This window comes from Homo sapiens, chromosome 1 (assembly GCF_000001405.40).
Source record: "Homo sapiens chromosome 1, GRCh38.p14 Primary Assembly".
NCBI classification, from domain to species: domain Eukaryota; kingdom Metazoa; phylum Chordata; class Mammalia; order Primates; family Hominidae; genus Homo; species Homo sapiens.
Window position 1 is genome coordinate 12,642,389 of NC_000001.11, and position 25,203 is coordinate 12,667,591.

At 47.3% G+C, this 25,203-nt stretch overlaps 1 protein-coding gene across 2 annotated transcripts; it reads left to right on the forward strand.

Annotated features, from left to right (window-relative positions):
- The first annotated feature begins 1,696 nt into the window (after positions 1-1,696).
- On the forward strand, positions 1,697-24,688 carry AADACL4 (arylacetamide deacetylase like 4). 2 transcript variants are annotated; one of them, NM_001013630.2, is made up of 4 exons: positions 1,697-2,326; positions 8,735-8,951; positions 19,403-19,466; positions 23,573-24,688. In NM_001013630.2, the coding sequence occupies exons 1-4, from the start codon at positions 2,159-2,161 to the stop codon at positions 24,345-24,347; spliced, it is 1,224 nt and encodes a 407-aa protein (NP_001013652.1). In that variant the 5' UTR covers positions 1,697-2,158; the 3' UTR covers positions 24,348-24,688. The 2 variants fall into 2 exon arrangements, with proteins under 2 accessions (NP_001013652.1, XP_016856642.1); XM_017001153.1 differs by lacking the exons at positions 1,697-2,326; positions 8,735-8,951; positions 19,403-19,466 and adding an exon at positions 22,202-22,612.
- Positions 24,689-25,203: the final 515 nt, after the last annotated feature.

Here is a 25,203-nt window from a genome sequence, read left to right on the forward strand (position 1 = left end):
TGCTCTGGGGGCAGTAATTGCGCTATCTGCTTTTCCAGGCCAAGCTCCTCCCGTGTGTGCTATCTTCAGGGGTATCCATAAACATGCTTAAGAAACCAAAAATTACATTATTTGTCATGAGTTTTAAAAAGATAATTACACCTGGCCGGGCATGGTGGCTCACACCTGTAATCCCAGCACTTTGGGAGGCTGAGATGGGTGGATCACGAGGTCTGGAGATCGAGACCATCCTGGCTGACGTGGTGAAACCCCGTCTCTACTAAAAATACAAAAAAATTAGCCGGGCGTGGTGGGGGGCGCCTGTAGTCCCAGTTACTCCGGAGGCTGAGGCAGGAGAATGGCGTGAACCTGGGAGGCGGAGCTTGCAGTGAGCTGAGATCACACCACTGCACTCCAGCCTGGGTGACAGAGCGAGACTCCATCTCAAAAAAAAAAACAAAAAACAAACAAACAAACAACAACGACAAAAGATAATTACACCTAGCCAGAATAGTGAATCTTATAACCCTCTAAGAGAAACCTAAGTAAACTCTTACAAAGATACAATGACGTAAAAACACAAAAATCTGCCATGCATATACTCACTGGGGTAAAGCCTCTTCTATAACTTTTGTTTTCTGAAACAAACCAAACAAACAAACAAAAAACCAAAAACCTAAAACATAAATAATAGGAATGAAAAAGGGGGTCTGCCTTCTAGTTCCAAGCTCCTGCAGCACTCGGAGGTTAATAACTTTCCCTTCCAGTCCCCTTGGGTGGTTTCACTTCAGAGTGCCTCCAGTAAAACACCTCCCTGTGAATAAATGGCTTTCCCTAGCACCCAAGGGAGCAGATTTTCAGCAAATTTGTTGAGTGTGTGTGTCAAGAGGAAGACACCAGTGAGTCCCCCTGGTGTAGCAGTTGAGCAACTTCTTTGCCAGTTCAGCAAATTCACACTATGCCCTTTCCAACAAGAGCTGGGTCTCATCCCTATGGGTGGAAACGGGGTCTTTCTTGGGTGCTCTATTTAAGCCCTAAGGGTAGTGGTATTTTCTTATATGTATAGTTTCTATATTCTCCCTTTTTTTTTTTTTTTTTTTTTTTTTTGAGACAGAGTCTCGTTCTGTTGCCCAGGCTGGAGTGCAGTAGTGCGATCTCGGCTCACTGCAACCTCCAGCTCCCAGGTTCAAGCGATTCTCCAGCTTCAGCCTCCCGAGTAGCTGGGATTACAGGCATGTGCCACCATGCCCGGCTAATTTTTGTAGTTTTGGTAGAGAGGGGGTTTCACCCTGTTGGCCAGGCTGGTCTTGAACTCCTGGCCTCAAGTGATCCTCCCAGCTCAGCCTCCCAAAGTGCTGAGATTACAGGTGGGATTACCACCGTGCTCGGCCCAAATTAAAATTTCTAAAATTTTCAGGCTCAAAGCCTATTTCCTGAAATGGTTCCAATCATTTCTTTCTCTCTTAGAAGAAAGTAACGTGGATAAAAATTGTCCCCAAACCAGCCCTTGGCACCATTTTTAGAGGCGGAATATGAGGCTGGATAAAGCCCAGTTTTGCCTGCAATGGCATTCCTGTCTCCCGTCCCAGGACCCCAGAAGATTATGACTACCAGAAAACACGCCAGTCTTTGCCCTGATCTGGCCAGAGGCCCAGAGGGTACATAGGCGGTGACAGAGTGAGACCTTGTTTCAAAAAACAAAACAAAACTGGGGTTAGGGAAGCTAGCTAGGGAGCTGGGGTGAGACGTGCTGTGCTCACCCTAACCACACTCTGACAAGGAAAGCTGGCGAAGTCTCTTATCTTACAGTTGAAAGATCAGGCCCTGGAGGCCTATATAACCCATATGAGATCTCTTTCTAGGGTTCCCAGGAGCCGAGGTGCCCATCTGAGCCTGATCTTCCTGAAATCTTTGGGAAGCTCACCTTCCAAGACTCCCCATGATGAGCAGTATTGATTTTTCTGGGTCCCCACATTGCTTAGGGAAATAGGTTCCTCCACCTCCCATTGGCCTTTTTGTGCTTACCCTGAGAAGCTGTGTCAGGCCACTGTGTCAGGTGTCAGGCTTAGCCCAGAGAGAGTGAGGTGGAGGAGGCGGAGGGTGTAACCCAGCCAGGTCCTCTTCACATAAGCTATCAGACAAGCTCCTCAGGGCAGCAGCTCCTCAAGGCCCCAGGAACATGGCTGTCCCCTGGCTAGTGCTACTCTTGGCATTGCCCATCTTTTTCCTGGGGGTCTTTGTCTGGGCTGTCTTTGAGCACTTCCTCACCACGGATATCCCTGCTACCTTGCAGCATCCTGCCAAGTTGAGATTCCTGCATTGCATATTCCTCTACCTGGTCACTTTGGTGAGTTTACTCTCAGGCCACGTCGTAACCTGGGGGCTTCTTCTCTTGTTCTCAGTACCTTACCCTCTTTTCCCTCTTTCACTTCCCTTCTGTCTCTCTCTCTTCGGACTCCCTCAAGATAGACTTGTCTCTTCTGTATCTGCTATTCTGTTTGCCTCTCTCTTCCCTCCCTCCGTTCCTTCCCCCTTCCCATAGCCTGCCTGCCTTTCTTCCTCTCTCCCTCCCTTCCTTCCCTCCTTCTCTCCCTCCTTTCCTTTCTTTTTTCCTTCTTTCCTTCCCTCCTTCCCTCTCCTTCCTCCTTCCCTCATTCTCTCCCTTCCTCCCTATCTCCTTCATTCCCTCCCTCCCTTCCTTCCTTCCCTCCTTCTCCGCTCCTTTCCTTCCTTTTTCCTTCTTTCTTTCTCTCCCTCCCTCCTTCCTTCCTCCTTCCCTCCTTCCTTCATTCTCTCTCTTCCTATCTCCTTCCTTCCCTCCCTCCTTCCTTTCTTCTTTCCCTTCTTCCTTCCTCCCTATCTCCTTTCTTCCTTCCCTCCTCCCTCCCTCCCTCCCTCCCTCCCTTCCTTCCTTGTTTCCTTCCTACCTTCCTTCCTTCCCTCCTTTTGTTCCGTTCTTCCTTCCTCTCTCCTGCTCTCTCTAACTCCCTTCCTTTCTTCCTTTAGCATCAAACATTTACCGAGTGCCAATCACTGGGCTCTTTTCTGAGAATTCAAAAACAATTTCAGACCCAGTTCCTGCCTTCCCCGGGCTTGTGGCCTGACAGCCCCTGCCCCTCCTTCAGCCGCGCACACTTTCACCCTCAGTGCACTGACTTACCTATAGGTTGTTTCTATTTTATTTTACTTTTTTGAGACGGGGTCTTGCTCTGTTGCCCAGGCTGGAGTGCAGTGGTGCAATCATGGCTCAGTGCAGCCTCAACCTCCTGGGCTCAAGCGATCCTTTCCATCTCAGCCTCCCAAGTAGCTGGGACTACAGGTGCGCACCACCATGCCCGGCTAATTTTTGTACTTTTGGTAGAGACAGGGTTTCGCTATGTTGCCCAGGCTGGTCTAGAACTCCTGGGCTCAAGCAATCTGCCCGCCTTGGCCTCCCAAAGTGTAGGGATTGCAGGTGTGAGCCACTGCACCTAGCTTCACAGGTGTTTTTTTCCTTATTCATCTCTGTAAGCCCAGTCCCACTCACAGAGCCTGGTATCTGGTAGGTGCTTACTTTTGTTGGTATACATGAATTTACCCAGCATTTCTGAGTGGCCGTGCCAGCCAGGCTCTGAGCAGGGCTTGGGGATTGGGGGTTTGGGGTGGACCAGCATGCACCCAGAGTTGCAGTGGATTTGGAAACAGTGGTGTGACATCTTGTTTGTGGCAGGCAACCTGAGTTAACCCCAATGTCCCAACCCTAGGTGGAGACCTTATAGAAGCCAAACAGCTCCTACTGATTCCAGGGCAGCTGTGGAGGAGGATGAGGAGGCCACGCTTAACTGACAGCAGGGCTTAGGAATAAGGAACAGAGACAGCAGCCGGACTGCCTGAGTGTGTGTCCCAGCTCTGTCACTCACTCGCTGTGCGGTCCTGCACCATTTACTTAACCTCTCTGTGTCTCAGTTTCCTCATCTGGGAGGGTTAATATGTCTAGAGATGTTTAGTGAATTCGTAAAATACATCTCTGTGCTGCTGGAAGTGTTCCCCATGGGTTACAAAAACATTTTCTAAAAGATCACTTTTAGAGACACCGACAAGTTCAGTGTGCAGTGGCATCAATGCCACTGACGCAAGGAGACAGGACAAGGATGTAGAAAGTACTCGTGTCCTCTCATTTGGAGAATGCAATCAGCCTGGAATTAGGCAGTCTCAAGCCAGTGGCTGCAATCCACATGGAGTTACTAGTTGGGTTAGAGCCCCAGGATTTAAAACGAGGGCCTAAGATGTTCAGGTGGCCCAGAGAAATGGAGATTTTTCTGTCAGTGTTTCTCCTCAAAAGTAGCCCACAAGCTAAACATCTACTGATGACAGCTGCTATGGGCTGTTCACAGGGGACTCTGAGATGGGTCTGCAGCCGCTGAAAGGGTGGATTCAGCTTGTGGCGTCCTCTCTCGATCCCTCCGGCACTGGGGCCTCCCAGGGCACACTGCCCATCATGGGGTGATGATGATGAGGATGAGGACATACAGTAGTGAATGTTCATTCGGTTCCAGAGGACAGATAGACAACACAGGAACAAGAAGTTTAGGGAGGACAAGGAAAAAGCTAAAAAGAGTCTATGGCCAGGAAATCAAGAGCTTTGTTTCGGTATCAGACCACCCTCTGAGCCCTGAAGCCCTCACTTACTCGTTTTGTGGACTCATGTTTTTGTGCCTTTATTTTCTTCTCTGAAAAGTGAGGATTTTTTTTTTTTTTTTTTTCTGAGACAGGGTCTCACTCTGTCACCCAGGCAGGAGTGCAGTGGCGTGAACACGGCTCACTGCAGCCTCCACCTCCTGGGTTCAAGTGATCCTCCCACCTCAGCCTCCCATGTAGCTCGGACCACAGGCGTGCACCTTCACATCACGCCTGGCTAATTTTTTGATATTTTGTACAGATGGGGTCTTGCTACGTTGCCAAGGCTGATCTTAAACTCCTGGATTCAAGCAATCCTCCTGCCTTGGCCTCCCAAAGTGCTAGGATTACAGGCATGAACCACTGTGCACGGCCCTGGGGAGGCTTTTTATAGGGTGACATGGGGATTAAATGAGAAAAGCACTGAAAATGCACAGCACCAGTGCTGGGTGCTTAGAAAGTCTCGATAAAAGTCAATTATTCATAGTATGCTTATCAAGTCCCTGAAGGCAAAGATGTAGCATTTCTTGAAATTATTATAGATTTAAAAGTTGCTATGAATGATTTCAGCCTTACTAAAATATATAAACAGTAATATAACAAACACTATTGCTTTTCTTTTTCTTTCTTTCTTTCTTTTTTTTTTTTTGAGACAGTCTCAGTCTCTTACCATGTAGGCTGAAGTGCAGTGGCACAATCATGGCTTACTGCAGCCTCGACCTCCTGGGCTCAGGTGATCCTCCCACTTCAGCGTCCTGAGTAGCTAAGACTATAGGCGCCTGCCACCATGCCCAGATAACTTTTTTGTATTTTTTGTAGAGACCAGGTTTTGCCATGTTGCCTAGGCTGGTCTTGAACTCCTGGGCTCAAGAGATCCGCCTGCCTTGGCCTCCCAAACTGTTAGGATTACAGACATGAGCCACTGTGCCCAGCCACTATCGCTTTTCTGTTTTTGTTTTTGAGATGGAGTCTTGCTCTGTCACCCAGGCTGGAGTGCAGTTGTGCAATCTCAGCTCACTGCACTGCAACCTCTGCCTCCCAGGTTCAAGCGATTCTCCTGCCTCAGCCTCCCGAGTAGCTGGGACTACAGGTGCGTGCCACCACGCCTGGCTAATTTTTTGTATTTTTAGTAGAGATGGGGTTTCACCATGTTAGCCAGGATGGTCTTGATCTCCTGACCTTGTGATCCGCCTGCCTCGGCCTCCCAAAGTGCTGGGATTGCAGGCATGAGCCACCGCAGCCGGACTGCTTTTCTTTTAAAGGGCAAATGATGCAATATTTGTCAAGGAGTTTCAACAGCTATTTAAAATTCTGGACCTCAGATCCTTCCTTCCTTCCTTCCTTCCTTCCTTCCTTCCTTCCTTCCTTTCTTTCCTTCTTTCCTTTTTTTTGAGATGGAGTCTCACTCTGTCGCCCAGGCTGAAGTGCAGTGGCATGATCTTGGCTCACTGCAACCGCCATCTTCCGGGTTCAAGTAATTTTCCCACCTCAGCCTCTTGAGCAGCTGGGACCACAGGCATGCACCACTGTGCCTGGGTTTTTTTTTTTTTTGTATGTTTTGTAGAGATGGGGTTTCTTCATGTTGTCCAGGCTGGTCTTGAACTCCTGGGCTCAAGCAGTCTGCCAGCTTCGGCTTCCCAAAGTGCTGGGATTACAGGCGTGAGCCACCACTCCTGGCCACTGGACCTCAGATATTTTTAAAATCTCGATGCTCCCATGTATAATCTTAATAATCAGTTTTCCTCTCTGCCTCTGTCCTAAGTTACCAGCTATAGAAAATGTGGACTCAGAATTGGAAAACCAAACCAAAACCAAAACAAAGTAACTTCGTGGCATAGCTAGTGGCCATCACACGGTACAGCGTGATGTTAAACTTTCCGGGGTAGCGCGATGCCTATGGAGGGTTAATATCACACTTCATTGTTCAAAATCCCCTAAACAAACGTTTCCTGTTCTAGATGCTGGAGACAGAGGGGAAGGTGCTGAGACCTTTGCTCATGAGAAGCATTTGGTTTGGTGGTAGGAACAAACATGGGTGATCAGATCCACACAGTAAAGCCCCAGAGGAGTTCTAAAGAAATCTTTGGAGGCAGAGGTTGCAGTGAGCTGAGAATGTGCCACTGCACTCCAACCTGGGCAACAGGGTACTGAGGGCCTCCAAGAAGGCAGTGGCCATTACTATGAGAGGGAGGAGGATGGCCCCACGTGAACATGACTCTTGAGCCTGGATATGAAAGTCAGTTTGGTGTCCAACCACCTGCTGAACAGGTAAGAAAGGCTCCCAGGAAACAAAGGGAGGCATGGAGAAGCCCACAGTGTGTGGGCAAACAGGGAAGACAGCTGGGGAGATTAGTGCTGGGGCCAGCCTACCCTGACAACAGGGGCCACGACTTAGGGAGCTCACAGCCGAGCAGGTGAAGATCCATGCTGGTACAACATAGAGGCCTGGGGTTTTCGGATGTGGGTCAGTTGATGGGAAAAGCAGGTGACCTCCACCTTGCAGATCAACTCATTCTCCTCCAACTAAAGCAGGGAAATCATTATTTTGTTTGGAGTTCCTTTAGGAGGACCTCTTCATGGAGGGAACCGATTGGGGTAGTCCGTGCAACCTCAGACAAGACCCAGTGGGTGCAAGCAAGAGAAAGGGTGGGGCTCACACTGGCCAGGACCCACTGGGGAGACACTCTATGTAGGTGATCACATCCCATCCTCACACCTCATCCTTGGACTATACACAACATGCTTCTCATTTTGGGAAGCTCAGAGACAAATTGAAGCTCAGAGACAGTGATGCCCAAGGCTTTTCAGTTCATTGGAGTTTGGGGTCAGACTTGAGCTTGGATAGGCTTGGCTCTGAAACCCAAGCTCTTTCTTGGTTAGCAGTTGAGAACACAAATTTTGCATCTTACTTGTTGAACAACCCTGGGCAAGGAACTTGACCTTGGCATGTCTTAACTTCCTGATTTATAAAATGGAGCTGGTAATTATGCCTGACTTAGAAAGGTTGCTGAGAAGTTTAATCAAGTTAATGATCCAAGCCACTTGGGCCAGTACTGACACATTGTAAATGTCTGATAAGTATCAGCTGTTCTTGTTCTTGTCATTCTTATCATTCCTTGCTGTTTTCCTTATGACAAAGACACACTCCAAATGTGAGGTCTGTGGGAGAGATTATCCAGAATCGCTGAAATGTACTTAGTACATGAAATATGACACCTTGTAACTGTATTTCGTGAAATATTCAGATGTTGAATTGTTTATAAGTAGAGTGACCGTATTAGTTTAAAAACACATTACTCCCTTGACCTGAGCCCACAACAGACATCCCTAACTGATCACGTTGCTCTTTTTCATTGAACACGGACACAGTTAGGAATCCTTCCTAACCCAGAAGAATGATCTGTTGATACAGGTGAGGAACTATCTTTGCATCCCAGGCTGGGGAGAGTCCAGCACAGAGCTATAGAGAGGGAAGTTGCTGGCCAGTTGCCTTGGCCAACTGGCTTTTCTTTTTTTTTTTTTTTCCCCGAGATGGAGTCTCTCTCTGTTGCCAGGCTGGAGTGCAGTGGTGCGATCTCAGTTCACTGCAACCTCTGACTCCCAGGTTCAAGTGATTCTCCTGCCTCAGCCTCCCGAGTAGCTGGGACTACAGGCGCTCGCCACCATGCCCAGCTGATTTTTGTAATTTTAGTAGAGATGGGGTTTCACCATGTCGGCCAGAATGGTCTTGATCTCTTGACCTCATGAGCCGTCCACCTCGGCCTCCCAAAGTGCTGGGATTACAGGCGTGAGCCACTGCGCCCGGCCAACAATTGGCTTTTCTAAGTCAGTGGCTTCTTCCCAGTCAGCCCCAAGCTAGGCTACCCTTTGGCAAATTCACATCATTATTCAATCAAGAGCCTCTGGGGAGAAAAGTTGGAAAACCCAGCCCTCTACCTGGACACAGTCCAGAGCCTATGGATTCCTGAAGAGCCCCCTGTACCTACAGGAGGCAGGTGAGAAACTGTGAAAACATCCTAACAATTCTAAGTGTCAGGGAATCTACCATCCAGATTCTAACCTCTCCTAACGTCTGGCTTTCTTTTGTTACCTCCAACAGGGGAATATATTTGAGAAGCTGGGAATTTGCTCCATGCCCAAATTTATTCGTTTTTTACATGATAGCGTGAGAATTAAAAAGGACCCTGAACTTGTGGTGACCGACCTGCGTTTTGGGACGATACCCGTGAGGCTGTTCCAGCCGAAGGCAGCATCCTCCAGACCCCGGCGAGGCATCATCTTCTACCATGGAGGGGCCACAGTATTTGGGAGCCTGGGTAAGGGGCTTCCCTGTGGCTTTGTAGAGGAAGGGCCTCATCTGCATGCATAGCCTAGCTCATGCCTCCCGCAAGAACCCTTCTACAGTAGCTTAAAGGAATCAGTTGTTGGAGATTTTTATAGCGTTAATAGCCCAGACTAAGGGCTTTGGGCTCAGGTCAGTAGATAGTGTGGCAGCTGACATGGGAATCCTTTTCTTTTCTTTAATATGATGGTCTCAGTCAAGATGGGGACAGCAGTGGTCATGGTGGGGCTGTCGCAGAGGCTGTGGACTCCTCTCTCCCCTTTCTACTCCTAGTCATTGGCCTGCCCTGTCTCATTTACAATGATCCCAAACCCATGTATTTCCCTCTAGCTCTGCAGTATCATCATGACCCAAGACCCCATCCTTGCTTGCCTGCCTCCTTGCATCCCAGCCTCCCAGCCACGGGTCTCCCTGATTCACCTCTCGCCCCTCATATCTGGTCCCCATCCAGCAGCTAGGAGGATTTTTTTTTTTTTTTTTTGAGATGGAGTCTCGCTCTGTCGCTCAGGCTGGAGTGCAGTGGCGTGATCTCGGCTCACTGCAAGCTGCGCCTCTCGGGTTCACGCCATTCTCCTGCCTCAGCCTCCCAAGTAGCTGGGACTACAGGTGCCTGCCACCGTGACCAGCTAATTTTTTTTTTTTTGTATTTTTAGTAGAGACGGGGTTTCACTGTGGTCTTGATCTCCTGACCTCATGATCTACCCGCCTCGGCCTCCCAAAGTGCTGGGATTACAGGCGTGAGCCACCACGCCCAGCCTTCCAGAGGGATCTTTTAAAAATACAAGTCAGAGCTTGTCAGTCCTGCACTTAAATCTCTCCTGTGCCCTTCCATGAAACCCAGACTCCTCCCACAGCCTCACCCGGGTCACCTGTGGTGTCCTTTACCCGTTCACTCAGCTGCAGTCCCAATACGCGTCTATCTGCTGCAGACACTTAAGCTCCTTCTCACCACCGTTCTCTACCTGCTGTTTCCTCAGTCTCAAAAGATACCCTTCCCACCCCTGTCATTGCATGGCTGACTACGCCTGGTTCTTTCAGTTGTATCTCAACTGTCCCTCCCCAGAGTTGTCTTGATACCGGTGGGCTGGGGGATGTCCCCAAAGGCCAGTGGCACCTCCAGCTGGTGTCCCTGCTCTTGAAACCGTTGGGAGAATGAATTCAAGGACAAGTCAGAAAATAGTGAAAATACAGAGATTTGTTGCAAAGGAAAAAGCACACACTCAAGAAAAGGAAGTGGGATGGACTCAAGAGAGACAGGCGCAAAGAAATGCTACCTTTATGCATTTCTTTAACCAAGGGGTGGACTATTCATGAAAATTCTTGGAAAAAGATGATGTTTTCTCGGAACTGTGGTGCCACCCATTTATACACCAAATATGGTGTCCCCATAACTGTCCTGTCGCTGGTGGGTGTGTGTTTAACATGTTAATGAACACATAAGGAGGTCCTAGGAGAAGCCCAGGTCCAATCCAGTGCCATGTTGGGTCCAGTCGGTCTTAGCCAGCTTGGTCCACACCCTGGCTTTTCAGGGTTTTATCACCTTCTGCGGCTATTTCAACAATTTCCTTTTGCTAGTCATGTGAAACCGCTGCCTGGAATTTTCTATTCTTCTGCGACCACCCTGTGTAATTCCTATCTCATTTTTTTTCCCTCAGAGATTTCCATCTCCTATACTTAGGGGTTGATGACGGGGGAGGTCAGTCTTCAGTATCTACTTTCTGCTGATTAGGGGTCTTGGCCCCGCCTAGTGTAGGCTTGGAAATCTCTGGATGCCTAGCCTATGGGTGACCCAAGGTGGGTCATCAGGAGGATCTGAATCTGAGGCAGGGATTGGTTGGAATCCTTCAGGGCCATCCTTTTGACATGGAACTGTTGCAGTCTATTAGATTGGTGTGAAAGTAATTGCAGTGTTTGCCATAAAAGGCAAAAACCATTTGCGTCAAGAAGACATAAACTTTACAAAGAGATTAAACAAGCAAGGACCCAAGATCAGAAGTCATAAGACAGCTATTGGAGGACCCAGGAAAGGTAGGACTCATGTCACACTTGGTAGGTATCCCTGGATGGAGTCCCACATGGCTTCAGCAGTGACGTTATTGAAATTATACAGCCGGATAGCCTGTTGGTAAAACTTTGAACATGCAGTTCAGCTAATCCTGAATTGTTGATATAAGAACAACAGGTATGGTTTATTACCGCACAAACCCTTCTGAGTGGTTTATGCTCTGGTCCTGTTAGGGCCTCGTACAATGGCTTAGTAATGAGCGCAAATCCTGGGATCCAAATCCTGTAAAACCTTGGCACACCCAGGAAAGTTCTAAGTTGCTGCTTTGTTTGTGGAGGTCCTACCTTCAAGACTGCCTCCTTTCATTTGATGGACAAGGTCTGGTTCCCTGGGCTTAGGATGTGCCCCGGATATTTTACTTTACTTCAGGTTTAGAAATCTGGGCCTTGGATGAAGAGAACCTATACCCTCTTTTTCCCAGGAAGTTTAGGACCTGAATGCCATTCTTCTCTGAGTCCTCTCAGAGGGACTGCATACAAGGATAATATCCACGTATTAGAGTATCCCCCCCTTTCTAGCTCTAGCTCCCTTAATTCTCATGCCAAGGGATTTACAAACATGTGAGTCCTATCCCCAAAGCCTGGAGGCAGTACCATCCAGGTGTGCTGTAGGGAAATAGTAGTTCCAGGATCAGTTCTCTCAAAAGCAAACAAATACTGAGATTCAGGGTGCAGAGAGAAACCATCCATAAGATCTAATACCATGAACCAATTGGTGTCTCCCAGTATTTGGGTAAATACGGTATAAAGATTTGGCACTATAGGATGTAAGAGAATTACGGTCTCATTGTAAGTCTTGAACTACTGTTTGGTTTTTGGACAGGAAAGACAGGAGTATTACAAGGAGATCTGCCTGGAACCAGGAGGCCATGTTTTAACAACTTCTCAATTAGAGGTTGCAGTCTTTGCCTGGCTTCTGATTTGAGAGGATATTGATCCTTGTATGGGGAATTATTTTTGTCTTTTAAAGAGATGATCACTGACTGAGCATGTATTGCTTTGCCAGGAGTTTCTTGGTTCCATACTTGTGGGTCTACTTGAGACCTTATTTCGGTGTGTGAGTGGGTCTCCTGTTTTTCTGAGGCTGATTTAGAAGCAGCAAGCATTGCCGATAAGGAGGGCTTTCTAGGGCCTGATAGAGTGGCTCATTTATTGGGATGGCTAGGAAGTCCCATCCCTGTGGGGGTTCAGTCAGGCTGGTGGGAAAAATTTTAGTTATAATAGCCACAAACCTTCTTGGAAGGCCTGAAGGTTTTTGCAAAAATCTCAGGATAAGGTTATGGCTGAAGGCAACCTAATCCTTACCTTGAGTAAATAGCTTAAAGTGGGTACAAAGGAAGATAGAACAGTTTATCTAAATAGCTTGTTTACTCACGTGGTCCTAAGACTAACCTTTGATCATTCATGGGCAAGACGGCCCTCTCCGGGGTAGGGGTGACCAGGTTAATTACCCACAGGTGTGTTGACTCAAGCCTTTGTCAATTAATCTTTACTGAATAAATACGAGTCTCGCTGGCTGGTCAGGGCTGTGGCCACTGACTCTTTACAGCACCTTGCTTGGTGTCTGTAAACGGCTCGGACACTCAGCCGGACTGGCAAAGCAGAATACATGTCAGTACATGTTATTCATCCGTTGTTGGGTCAGGGTCTCGCACATCCCAACAAACAAATGGGACATTCCGACATAATTAGAAACTCATGAGTTAATATATATACTATATAGACTATACTATATATATGGTCCTAGCCTGCAGTTCAGGGGTAAAGTAAAGCACTTTGATTTTGGGGTGCCATCAACACCTGTGACACTGTAGTTTTTGGAGGATAAGGGCCCAGGGTGGCTGTTTAGGAGAGAGTAACTGGCCCCTGAGTCAATTACGAAATTAATATTTTTACCAGCCATGTCAAGAGTCACTGAGGCTCCTCAGTTGTGATGACCATGATTTTTGTGGGGGCTGCCAGGAACCTCAGGCCTCTTCAGTTCTCAGTTATGGCCATTATGGCATCGGGTGTCCCCTGCCTTCAGAGCTCAGGGCAGTCCCTTTTCCAGTGGGCCTTCTGCTTGTAGTGAGGGCAGGGTCTAGGTGGGCTCCCTGGCTGGGACATCATTGCTCCAGTGTCCCAGCTTTTCACACTTGAAGCAGTAACCATTGCCTGCAGGTTTGCTGTTAGGCCCGTTTCACCAACGACTGAAGCCTCCCTCTGGGTGACCCTGGGTTTGTGGGGCACTGGTTGCAGAGTTACAAGGATGGCTATCATTTGGGCTTGCACTTCATCCCATTGTTTGCCATGCCGGGTCTTTTCAGCCTTTTCAGCCCTGTCCCTATTATTGAATATCCCAAAAGCTACATCAAGCATTTGATTAACAGGCATTTGGAGTCCCAAAGCCAATTTCTGTAATTTTCTCCTGATGTTGGGCACTGACTGGCTAATAAAGGGTTCTGATAAAGAGCCATGAAGGCCTATATATATGGTATTTCAGTCCATTTCTCCTGAGATTTACAAAAAAGACCTAATCACAAGATGGTATTAAAATTTAGGGTTTCATTCTCTGGCCATTGCACCCTATTTTCCAACTTATATTGGGGCCAAATGGTGTTATAGAAAGAAATGAGTTTCTTCTAAGCCCATCAAGTTTAAAATTACTCCAGTTTTTAAGAATGTGTCCCAAAGGGGAGTTGACAGAGACGGAAAGTTACCCATGGCCTTGGCTTGTCCTTGGCATGACTTGAGACAGAAGGGGAAAATAACAGTATGGTTCCCTCATGGATGGACTGGTCCTGGCATTTTATGAAATGTCCCTTGTGATTGGCCAGCTCCATGTCCACACCAGGGAGACAGGCATCCCAGTTCCCTTGGCTGGCTGCCTCAGCATCCAGGCATCCCTGGAGCCCTACTGTCCTCGGCATCTAGGCATCTCTGGAGTCTCAGTGTTGCCCAGGCATCTGTGGCCCCTGGGGCTTTGGAAATGGGAAGGTCGAGAAGGGCAAGCTGTGGGCCTGCAAGCTTGCTGATATCCATCTGAACATTTACCACCAGGTAAAGCTTGGGAGTAGAGATGATTCAGTATGGCCAAAAAATAGGGACCTTGAAGGGAGCACTTGGCATTCCAGAGAACAGTATCTAAGGGGCCTACCCTGCTGCGTCTAAAGAGTTCACTAAGCTTTCGGGTGAAGTGTGAGGAAGAAGCATGAGAAGAGAAAATCACAACAGTAAGGTTTAAAGAAAGACAAGGAGAAAACATTTTCCAACTAGCGTCAGTGTATTGGCACAGCTGGTCCCTTGGGAAAACAGAAGCCCCTTCCCAGGAAAAAGTCATAGTGCTCCTTGGAAACCATCCATCCACTGCCTGGTATGGGTTTTTACCCTACCACCCTCATTAGCCTCGTGTCAGGGAGGACCATGGTGCCTCAAAGCTACTCAGTGTAAGGCTGGGCATGGTAGCTTATGCTTGGAATCCCAGCACTTTGGGAGGTTGAGGCAGGTGGACTGCTCGAGCTCAGGAGTTCAAGACTGGCCCTGGCAACATGGTGAAACACCCCTTCTCTACAAAAAATACAAAAGTTAGCTGGGCATGGTGACACATGCCTATAGTCCCAGCTACTCAGGAGGCTGAAGCAGGAGGATTGTTTGAGCCCGGGAGGCAGAGGTTGCAGTGAGCTGAGATCACACCACTGCACTCCAGTCTGGGTGACAGAGAAAGACTGTCTCAAAAAAAAAAAAAAAAAAAAAAAAATCAAACAAACAAAACCCCAAACTACTCTGTGTAGGTTGAAAATTTCTCATCTCTGCTTGTGACCCATCAGGGTGAATTGGGTTTTCCAGACTGAGGGAAACAGCAGCAGGGAGGCAGGCTGTAGCTAGCTCCAAGAAAGAAGGAAGAAAGTAGTAATTCCAGAGAACAAGAGGACTCAAACTAAGGTTGGAGCGGGACTTACCAATTGCCAGTGGTTCTAAAATGGGAGCGATGATGTTCCTGACTGGCTCGCCACAAAGATGATACTGCTGGTCTGGGGGAGGTCCCCAAATGCCATTGGGACGTTGACCCTCGCCAGTGTTCAGGCTCTTGACACTATCATGAGAATGAATTCAAGGACGAGTCAGAAAATGGTGAAAGTACGGAGATTTATTGCAAAGGGAAAAGCACATAGTCAAGAAAAGAGTGCAGGCAGACTCAAGAGAGACACGTGCGAGGAGGATTGGGGCTGCTACCTTTATAGGTTTCTTTAACCAAGGGGCGGAATATTCATGAAAATTCCTGGAAAATGGCGGAGTTTTCTCAGAACTGTGGTGGGTCCACACCCATTCTGGGACCAAAATGGGTGTCCCAGAACTGCCATGGTACTAGTGGGTGTGTGTTTAGTATGTTGATGACATAGAAGGAGGTCCTAGGAGAGACTCAGGTCAAATCCGGTGCCATGTTGGGTCCAGTCAGTCTTAGCCAGCTTGGCCAACACCCTGGCTTTTCAGGGTTTTATCAGTCTCTAGCTTCTGCAGCCATTTCAAGTTTCCTTTTGCTCATTGTGTGAAACTGCTGCCTGGAATTGTCTTGTCTTGCCTTCTCTTCTCCCCTTCTCTCTCTCTCTCTCTTTCTTTCTCTTTCTTTCCTTCCTTCCTTCCTTCCTTCCTTTCTTTTTCTCTTTCTTTCTTTCTTTCTTTCTCTTTCTTTCTCTCTTTCTTTCCTTCCTTCCTTCCTTCCTTCCTTCCTTCCTTTCTTTCTTTCTTTCTTTCTTTCTTTTTCTCTTTCTCTCTTTCTTTCTCTCTTTCTTTCTTTTCCCCTCCCTCTCCTCCCTTCCTCACTCCCTCCTTCCCCTTCCTTCCTTCCTTCCTTTTTCTTTCTTTCTTTCGAAACAGAGTCTTACTCTGTCACCCAGGCTGGAGCACAGTTGCACAATCTCAGCTCACTGCAACCTCCACCTCCCGGATTCAAGCGAGTATCGTGCCTCAGCCTCCCAAGCAGCTGAGATTACAGGCGCGTGCCACCACACCTGGATAATTTTTGTATTTTTAGTAGAGACGGGGTTTTGCCATGTTGGCCAAGCTGGTGTCGAACTCCTGACCTCAGGTGATCCACCCGCCTTGGCCTCCCAAAGTACTGGGATTACACGGGTGAGCCACCACGCGTGGCCTGGAATTTTCTATTCTCCTGTAACCACCCTGTGTTATTCCTGTCTCAGCCTCCCTGGACATCTTATCTAAGAACTCTCCTTGCTGACTGCTGCCCTGCCCTGCACCCCTGTATCCACCCCCGGCGCTGATGCTGCCCTGCCCTGCCCCCCGTGTACACCCCGTGCACTGATACTGCCCTGCCCTGCACCCGTTTCCACCCCCAGCGCTGATGCTGCCCTGCCCTGCACCCTGGTCTCCACCCCCGGCTTCATCCTTGTTAATTTTCTTCAGGTACTTGACACAGTCGGAGCTCATTTTGTTCTTTCATGGGTTTCCATATTCAGTACTTGACTCCCCCACTAAAAATGAAGAGTGCAAGAAGTTTTGTTTGTTGCTGGATCCTCAGTGCCTGTTGTTTTCATTTTTTGAATTGAATGAATGAATGCACGAATGAATAGATGGATGGATGGGGGAATAAGTGGATGAAAGGATGAGCTTGCGAATGAACAAATGGATATGGATGTATGGACCGACGCATGGACACATACGAGAAAAATTTGCCCATAGGAAAAGGCGGGCTTCTCCCGGTACATAACTTCCCCGAGATTAGGATGTACTGCCACCTGGTGGTGGGAGTGACGAAGGACAGTCTCTAGCTGGATCTGTTGTCATGGGAACAGAACCCAGTTCCTGGCCTCATGGACCTGACAGTCACCTGAGGGAGCTGGACACTGAAGTTATTGCAGATCATGATAACACAGGTGGCATGGAGAATCTCACAGCATCATTCCGATTTAGCTCTTCTCATCAGAGAAGTCAGATTTGACCTCAGGCTCAATGGATGAGGAGGATCTGGCCCTTTGGAAGCCGGAAAAGAGCCTTCTAGGTGAGGGCCGGGGCTAGAGGGAGGCACTTGCTTCAGGCTCCAAATTCAGAGGATGCCAAAACATTCATTAATCAAGATAAGTAATATTTTAATGCAATGTTTAAAAAAACAAATATTAATGCAAAACAATTATGATGAACAAAATGTCAAAATGTATACACAGGCAGGACCCAACAGGGCACAGCAAGTGTGCAAGTGAAAAATAGAAGCCTGTTTATATACATATATATATTTTAAGGACAGGATCTTGCTCTGTCACCCAGGATGGAGTGCAGTGGCGTGATCACAGCTCACTGCAGCTTCCAACTCCTGGGTTCAAGTGATCCTCCTGCTTCAGCCTCCCGAGTAGCTGGGACCACAGGCATGCACCACCACCCCTAGGTAATTATTTATGTATTTGTTTGTTTATTTTGAGACAGGATCTCACTCTGTTGTCCAGGCTGGGGTGTAGTGATGCAATTATGGCTCACTGCAGCCTCAACCTCCTGGGCTCAGGTGATCCTCCTGCCTCAGCCTCCTGAGTAGCTGGGACCACAGGCATGTACCACCATGCCTGGCTAATTTTTCAGTTATTTGTAGAGACGGCATTTCCCTGTGTTGCCAGGCTAGTCTTGAACTACTGGGGTCAAGTGATCCCCCCACCTTGGCCTTCCAAAGTGTTGGGGTTACAGGAGTGAGCCACTGTGCCTGGCCTAATTATTTTTACAGAGACGGGGTCTTGCTATATTGCCTAGCCTGGTCTCAAACTTCTGGGCTCAAGTGATCCTCTTGCCTTGGCTTCCCAAAGTGCTGGGATTACAGGTGTGAGCCACTGCACCCAGCCAAGCCTATTTAAAATTTTGATATTTTGTTCAACATACAATTTTTTGGCATTAATTGTGATTTCTTAATTGCATCCAAATGTTATTTTTCTGTATGGCTGAGTGTTGTGGGGCTCCCTTGATTTTGCACCCAAGGCGATGTCTTGCCTACCTCACCCTAGTCCTGGCCCTATTAAGTCTAAGTGGGAGGGACAGTAAGTGCAAAGCTCTGAAACAGGGACTACCTGACATGCTTGGGAAAGGAGGAATGTCTGGGTTACATCGGGAAGATGACACCCAGGTTGGCCCCGGGTGTCTAGCAGAGGTCTTTACTTTGTCTGGGCCTTAAAATCACCTGCGAATTTTAAAGTCATATTCATACCCAGATCATACCCCAGGCTAAGTGGGCAGGACCCAGGCATCAGCATTTTTTTTTTGAGATGGAGTCTTGCTCTGTCACCCAGGCTGGAGTGCAGTGGCATGATCTCGGCTCACTGCAACCTCCGCCTCCCGGGTTCAAGCAATTCTTCTGCCTCAGCCTCCTGAGTAGCTGGGACTACAGGCATGTGCCACCATGCCCGGCTAATTTTTGTATTTTTAGTAGAGACGGGGTTTCACCATACTGGCCAGGTTGGTCTCAAACTCCTGACCTCGTGATCCACCCACCTCGGCCTCCCAAAGTGCTGGGATTACAGGCATGAACCAGGGCATCAGTATTTTTAAACAGCTCATCAGATGACTGCAATGTGCAGCCAGGGCTGAGACCTACTAGTATGGAAACTTCAACTTAGGGGCTGACTGCTCCGACTCAATTTAGACCCCTCTGTGCCTCTGGCTCCATTCAGAACCATTGTCATCTCCCTCAAAGAGCATTAATGAGGCATGCACCCACTTCAGCAACCTCCTCCAAACCCTGGAATTACCTGGTGTGATTTAGAAAATCCTGATGCCTGAGCTTCCATGCTAGAGATTCTGATTTAATTGGTTTGAGGTTTAGCCTGGGCCTGAGGACTTGTAAAAACTCCCTGGTACCTCTATGTATGGCTGAAGTTGAGAATGACTGCATTAGAAGTGTATTTGGCAGTGATTCTGTGTCTGCCACTGTGCTAGTATGTTCTACGTACTCATATTGACGGACCTGCCTCTGAGAACTTCATATGCACCACTCTACTCATAGAAACATCCCGTCCAACCCTTGTTTATTTCTTGATCAATATAAATTTATAGTTATTATTAACATCCTAGGGCAGGCATGCCTAACTTCCCTTGGTTTTTTTCCATTTCAGATCACTAAGATTTCCAGGTTCCTGGTTTCCTCCACTGTAAAATAAATGTTGCAGAAAGTGAGCCCCAAGGTGAATTTGAGTCCCAAAATTCAGGAGGCTGGGGACAGATGTATGATTTGGCCTGGTTTTTTGGCTCTGTCCAGGCAGAGGAGGCAAGGATAGAAACAGAGAGGATGCCACACCCCACACCAAGACTGTCAGCTGGCTCTTCCTGGGGGCTGTGGTGAGATGGTTTGGGTCCTACTCATGCGCTGCTGCTCTGAGTGTTTTTGTCTTGCAGATTGTTACCATGGCCTGTGCAATTATCTGGCCCGGGAGACTGAATCTGTACTTCTGATGATTGGGTGAGTTTCTGGAGACAGCTGGTAGGTTCCACAGGGGTGAGAGGAGATAGGGTAAGTTCATGGGTGATTTGTAGATCAGAGAGGCCCTAACTCCCAAGAGGCAACTCTTGGACATGCATCCACAGAGACAGGCGCAGCAGTGCTCGAAAGAGCAAAAACCTGAAAGCAACCCACATGTCCATGAACGGGGGCGTGCATGAATAAACCTCAGCACAGCAACTGTTAGATTACATAGCCAAGAAGATATTATGGATTTTTCCACAGCCATTTAAATAAATGAACTAGAAAGGTGTACCATGTTGCAAATGAATCTTAGTAGTATAAAACTAAGTGAAAAATGTTCAAAAAATTACATAAAGCCTGATACTCATTTTGCAAAGGTAAAAACGTTAAAACCAAAAGAATACTTTCGAGGAAAACACATAGACGTAACAAGACAATGTAACATAGAAAGAAAAAAATGATAGATACAGGATTCAGGGTAACCATTCATTAAGTTGGAGGAGAAGCAAAATGGCATGATGGTGGGGTTGGTGAAGGTGATGCGCAAGATTCTGGCTGTTGTTTGGGGTGATGGTTCTGCAGGTGCTTATTGCATTGTTAAAAACTAACTAAGCTTCTGGTCCTACAGGAACTAGTGTTGAGAGTGTCTTAAGATACAACCCTGGTCCTATAAAAACAAAAGGGAGATGGAGGCATCTTTAGAGTGGATGGAGGGGGCAGTAGGGGCTACTCACTAGGATTCTGGTTCTTGGCTCAAGAGATCTCACATCACTGGGAAAGAGTTTAGAGAAGGCCAGCGAGAGAAATTAAAATCTGCCTTTTTAGATTCTACCTCTACAATGGACCTCCTCAAACCTTAGCTGCCCCTAGGCTTTGGTAGACAGAATAGCTGTGTGACTTAAACAAAGTCACTTAACATCTCTGGTCCTCTCTGATGAGATTGAGGAAGCCAGCACTTTCTAGTATTCATCAACATACCTCCCAGGTGGCTTACCATTGTGTCTGAAATTCCACCATTACAGTCTATGTCACCAAAGCCCTTTGTGATAATAAAAACATCCCTTGAACAGGTAGCACATAAAGGTATCAATAAGCACCTGCATTAATACCTTGTAGGAAATTGCTTAGGATGCCATTATCCCAGATACTTAGACCTGGTGCACGGGCCAGGGCAGTTTTGATAGAGTGGCTCATGGAGCTGCATGCACAGATAAGGGCTTCCAGGAGGCTGCAGGGAGACAGTAGCTGAGAGGAGACTCCCTGAGAGACACTGAAGGAAGGGAGATGTCTAAGGCCTGGATGGGACTCCCTACCCGAACTCTTGGAGAAGATGGGTCTTTTGACCTTTGGTTCTGCGAAGCCTTCACCTCTGGGTGAGTTTCTTAGTTTGGGCTGCTGTAACAAATTACCATAGATGGGGCAGCTTAAACAACACTTTGATTTCTCAGAGTTTTGGAGGCTAGAAGTCCAGGATCAGGGTGTCAGCATGGTCAGGCTCTGGTGAAGACCCTTTTCCAGGCTGTAGACTGCCAGCTTCTCCTTGTATCCTAGAATGGCAGAAAGAGAAGCCAGAGAGCTCTCTAATGCCTCCTTCATAAGGGCACTAATCCCATTCATGAGGGCTCCACCCTCATGACCTGATCACTTTCCTAAGGCCCCACTTCCTAATACCCTTGCATTGCAGTGTAGGATTTCAACATGGGAATTTTAGGGGGACACACACATTCAGTCTATCACAGTGAGCAAGAGAGAAGTGTAGGGAGGCACAGGAGAATTTCTGCCTCTTTCTGGCAGGTCACAGATTTTGCCAATAGAAAGTACCTAATATTTGTTATCCCCTTCATCATGTTGGAGTCATATATTCAACATTTGGTGAGGAGTATTCATTTCTAGAAATGGGAAAATGAAAGCTGAGGTTTGTACTCTCTGCTACCAGGTGAAGGGGCCACCTCCCTGCAAGGACCCTCTAAGAAGCATGTGTTTCGCCTGAGCTTAAATAGGAACCTGCTTCGATAACATTGATAGATTTATCAATATATTGACCATCTAGGAAATGGCCAATAAGATTATTGGGTGATAATTGTTTCCTAGATGGGCACTAAATTATGCTGCAATCAATCAAACTCTATTTTGAAAGATGAGGTGTTAACTTTTAAAGGAAACAAAATTCAAGGTATAATAGAAGGAAGTGTTTTCAAAATGGTTCTTTTGAACCCTAGAGTTCCCTGTGATGCCTTAGAGGCAGCTATGGAGGTCAAAGAAGAAGAAGAAAGAGTGAGGGCTTATGTTCCTTACCCTTGGGCAAAACCAGAACAACTGCATTTGTTTATTTTATACAATGGGGCTCTCATATAATTTTTTTCTTCGAAATGAAAAAAATAATTTTGTCGTTCTAAGTTGAAAGCCACTAGTCTAAGGTGTTATTTTTCCTTATGAGCTTCTTCCAAATTTAATGTGATAATTAGAATATACCTTTTTGATGTTTTCTTTTCTTTTTCTTTTTTCTTTTGTTTTCTTTCTTTTTTTTTTGAGATGGAGTCTCACTCTCTCCCAGGCTGGAGTGCAGTGGCACAATCTCGGCTCACTGCAACCTCCACTTCCTGGGTTCAAGTGACTCTCCTGTCTCAGCCTCCCAAGTGCCTGGGATTACAGGCTCCCACCACCACACCCCGCTAATTTTTGTATTTTTAGTAGAGATGGGGTTTCACCATGTTGGCCAGGCTGGTCTTGAACTCCTGAGGTTGAGTGATCCTCAGCCTCCCAAAGTGCTGGGATTACAGGCGTAAGCCACCGCCCGGCCTTGATGTTTTCAATGATAGATTGTAAGAACAGAAAAGATGATTAGCAGCCACTTCAACTTAACATTTAAGAGAACAATTATTTAGATAAACTCTCTACTCCAATCAGTTAAGCCAAACTGTTTCTATTTTTTTATTCATTCCTTTCTATTATCTTAATCTCAATTTATGCATTAATTAGCTTGTTCATTACTGCTTTTAAAAGCTCATTTTAAAGTTCCTTTTCTTTGCCCTTGAATTTCTTTGAGGGGACATACTTCGGAAGCCAAACCTCAGGATACTGAAGACCAACGCCCTAGTGTTCTTCACCAGCTGCTGGCACCCGGGTCTTCTGCAGCTTGAGCTGTGGGTTTCCAGGCTAGCTTTCCGTCTCTACATTACACCTTCAGAACACTCCCTGCCCCTCTTGCCTCCCACACTGGAGTGCAGTGGTGTAATCACAGCTCACTGCAGCCTCAACCTTCTGGGCTCAAGCAATCCTCCTGCCTCAGCCTCCTGAGTAACTGAGACTACAAGTGTGTGCCACCATGCATGCCTAGCCAATTCTTTTAAATTAGATTTTTGATTTTTTTTCGTTTTGTTTTTGAGATGGAGTCTCGCTCTGTCGCCCAGGCTGGAGTGCAGTGGCTCGATCTAGGCTCACGGCAAGCTCTGCCTCCTGAGTTCAGGCCATTCTCCTGCCTCAGCCTCCTGAGTAGCTGGGACTATAGGCGCCCGCCACCACGCCTGGCTAATTTTTTGTATTTTGTTTAGTAGAGACGGGGTTTCACCGTGTTAGCCAGGATGGTCTCGATCTCCTGACCTCGTGATCCACCCGCCTTGGCCTCCCAGAGTGCTGGGATTACAGGCATGAGTCACCGTGCCCGGCCTAGATTTTTGATTAAAAAAAAAATTCTGCCTGAAAGTAGCTTCCTCTTGACTTTAACTTTAGTGTTCTCTCTCCCTTTCTCTACAGACAAACAGTGGGACTGGTAGTGGTTTCATTTGCCTTTTTTTCAGCCATTGCTGGTTGTTTTGCTCCCAAAGCAAATAGCTTCAATGAAAACAAAGTTGCATCACCTCGTATAGAGTTTACGGGAAGCTGACAGAGCACAGGTTTGGAGTTAAGAATCCTTGCCTGTATGACTCTAGGCAGGTTCTTCACATGCTCATAGGAAGACAATGGGGATAAAATCCTTATTTCATAGGGTTATTCTGAGGATTTAATCAGATATAGTCTTGTAAGGGGGTTGAGGATTCTGTTGAAACAGCTCCCTAGCAACACTGTCCACACTGGTGTAGTGTTGCTCCCTGTTTTCGTTTTAGGTACCGCAAGCTTCCTGACCACCATTCCCCTGCCCTTTTCCAAGACTGCATGAATGCCTCCATTCACTTCCTGAAGGCCCTGGAAACCTATGGGGTGGACCCCTCCAGGGTTGTGGTCTGTGGAGAAAGCGTCGGAGGTGCAGCGGTGGCCGCCATCACCCAGGCCTTGGTGGGCAGATCAGATCTTCCCCGGATCCGGGCTCAGGTTCTGATTTATCCAGTTGTCCAGGCATTCTGTTTGCAGTTGCCATCCTTTCAGCAGAACCAAAATGTCCCATTACTTTCCCGGAAGTTCATGGTGACTTCTCTGTGTAACTATCTGGCCATTGACCTCTCCTGGCGTGACGCCATCTTGAACGGCACTTGTGTACCCCCAGACGTCTGGAGGAAGTACGAGAAGTGGCTCAGCCCTGACAACATCCCCAAGAAATTTAAGAACAGAGGCTACCAACCCTGGTCTCCCGGCCCTTTTAATGAAGCTGCCTATCTAGAAGCCAAACATATGCTGGATGTAGAAAATTCACCCCTGATAGCAGATGATGAGGTCATCGCTCAGCTTCCTGAGGCCTTCCTGGTGAGCTGTGAGAATGACATACTCCGTGATGACAGCTTGCTCTATAAGAAGCGCTTGGAGGACCAGGGGGTCCGCGTGACATGGTACCACCTGTATGATGGTTTTCACGGATCCATTATCTTTTTTGATAAGAAGGCTCTCTCTTTCCCATGTTCCCTGAAGATTGTGAATGCTGTAGTCAGTTATATAAAGGGCATATGATAGTAACCCTGGGGCCCCGAGGAGGAAGGGGCAAGTATGGACTCTACCAGAAACCGGGTGCTTTAGTGAGTTCTATTTTATTGACTAAAGAGGTGCTACATCAATGCTTGGGGCAGCTGGGAAGGGTGAGAAGTAAGCTAACAGTCTTGCTTAGTATTCAAGAAAATCCAAACTGTGTCTGTTTCCTTCCAGCACTAACAATGTCCATTGCTGGATCTAGCGACATTCTCTAACATTCCCATTTAGGTGAAATAAATATCAAAAGGAGAAAAAAATGCCTTTAAAAATTTCTCAAAGCCCCAACATATAAGATCTGTGCAGAATAAATGCCAACAACTGGTCATACCGTCAGTGGTGAATTTGTATCCATGAAGTCAAAGTATTGCTGGAGGGGGCATCTAATTGTTCCTGCGGCCAAAGGTCACTGGGTCAAATCTCGACTTTGATTGGCTCCAGCTGGTCTGAGAAATGCTGTTGCAATGAAATTCTACCCTTGACAATGAAGATCTCAGAGGGGATTGTGGGAAAGAGAGAGACAGGGAAAGAGGCAAGAGGAAAGGAACAGAAGAAAAGGGTGGGCTCTGGGGAGCTGTGAGCTTTGCCTGGGCTCAAGTCTTTAATCTGAATTCCAAAAGCAGACCACTGGGTACTAACAGGTAGGTTCACCAAGTCAGGGATGTCTTGAGAACCTCTGGATGCCATCTGGAATATGGAAACTGCATTTCCTAAGGCAGTAAGGTGCTAGCCTGTTTTCTTCAATGAGCTTGTATATTGTTCTCACTTTTTCTTTTTGTTTTGAGATGGAGTCTCACTCTGTCGCCTAGGCTGGAGTGCAGTGGTGCAATCTCGGCTCACT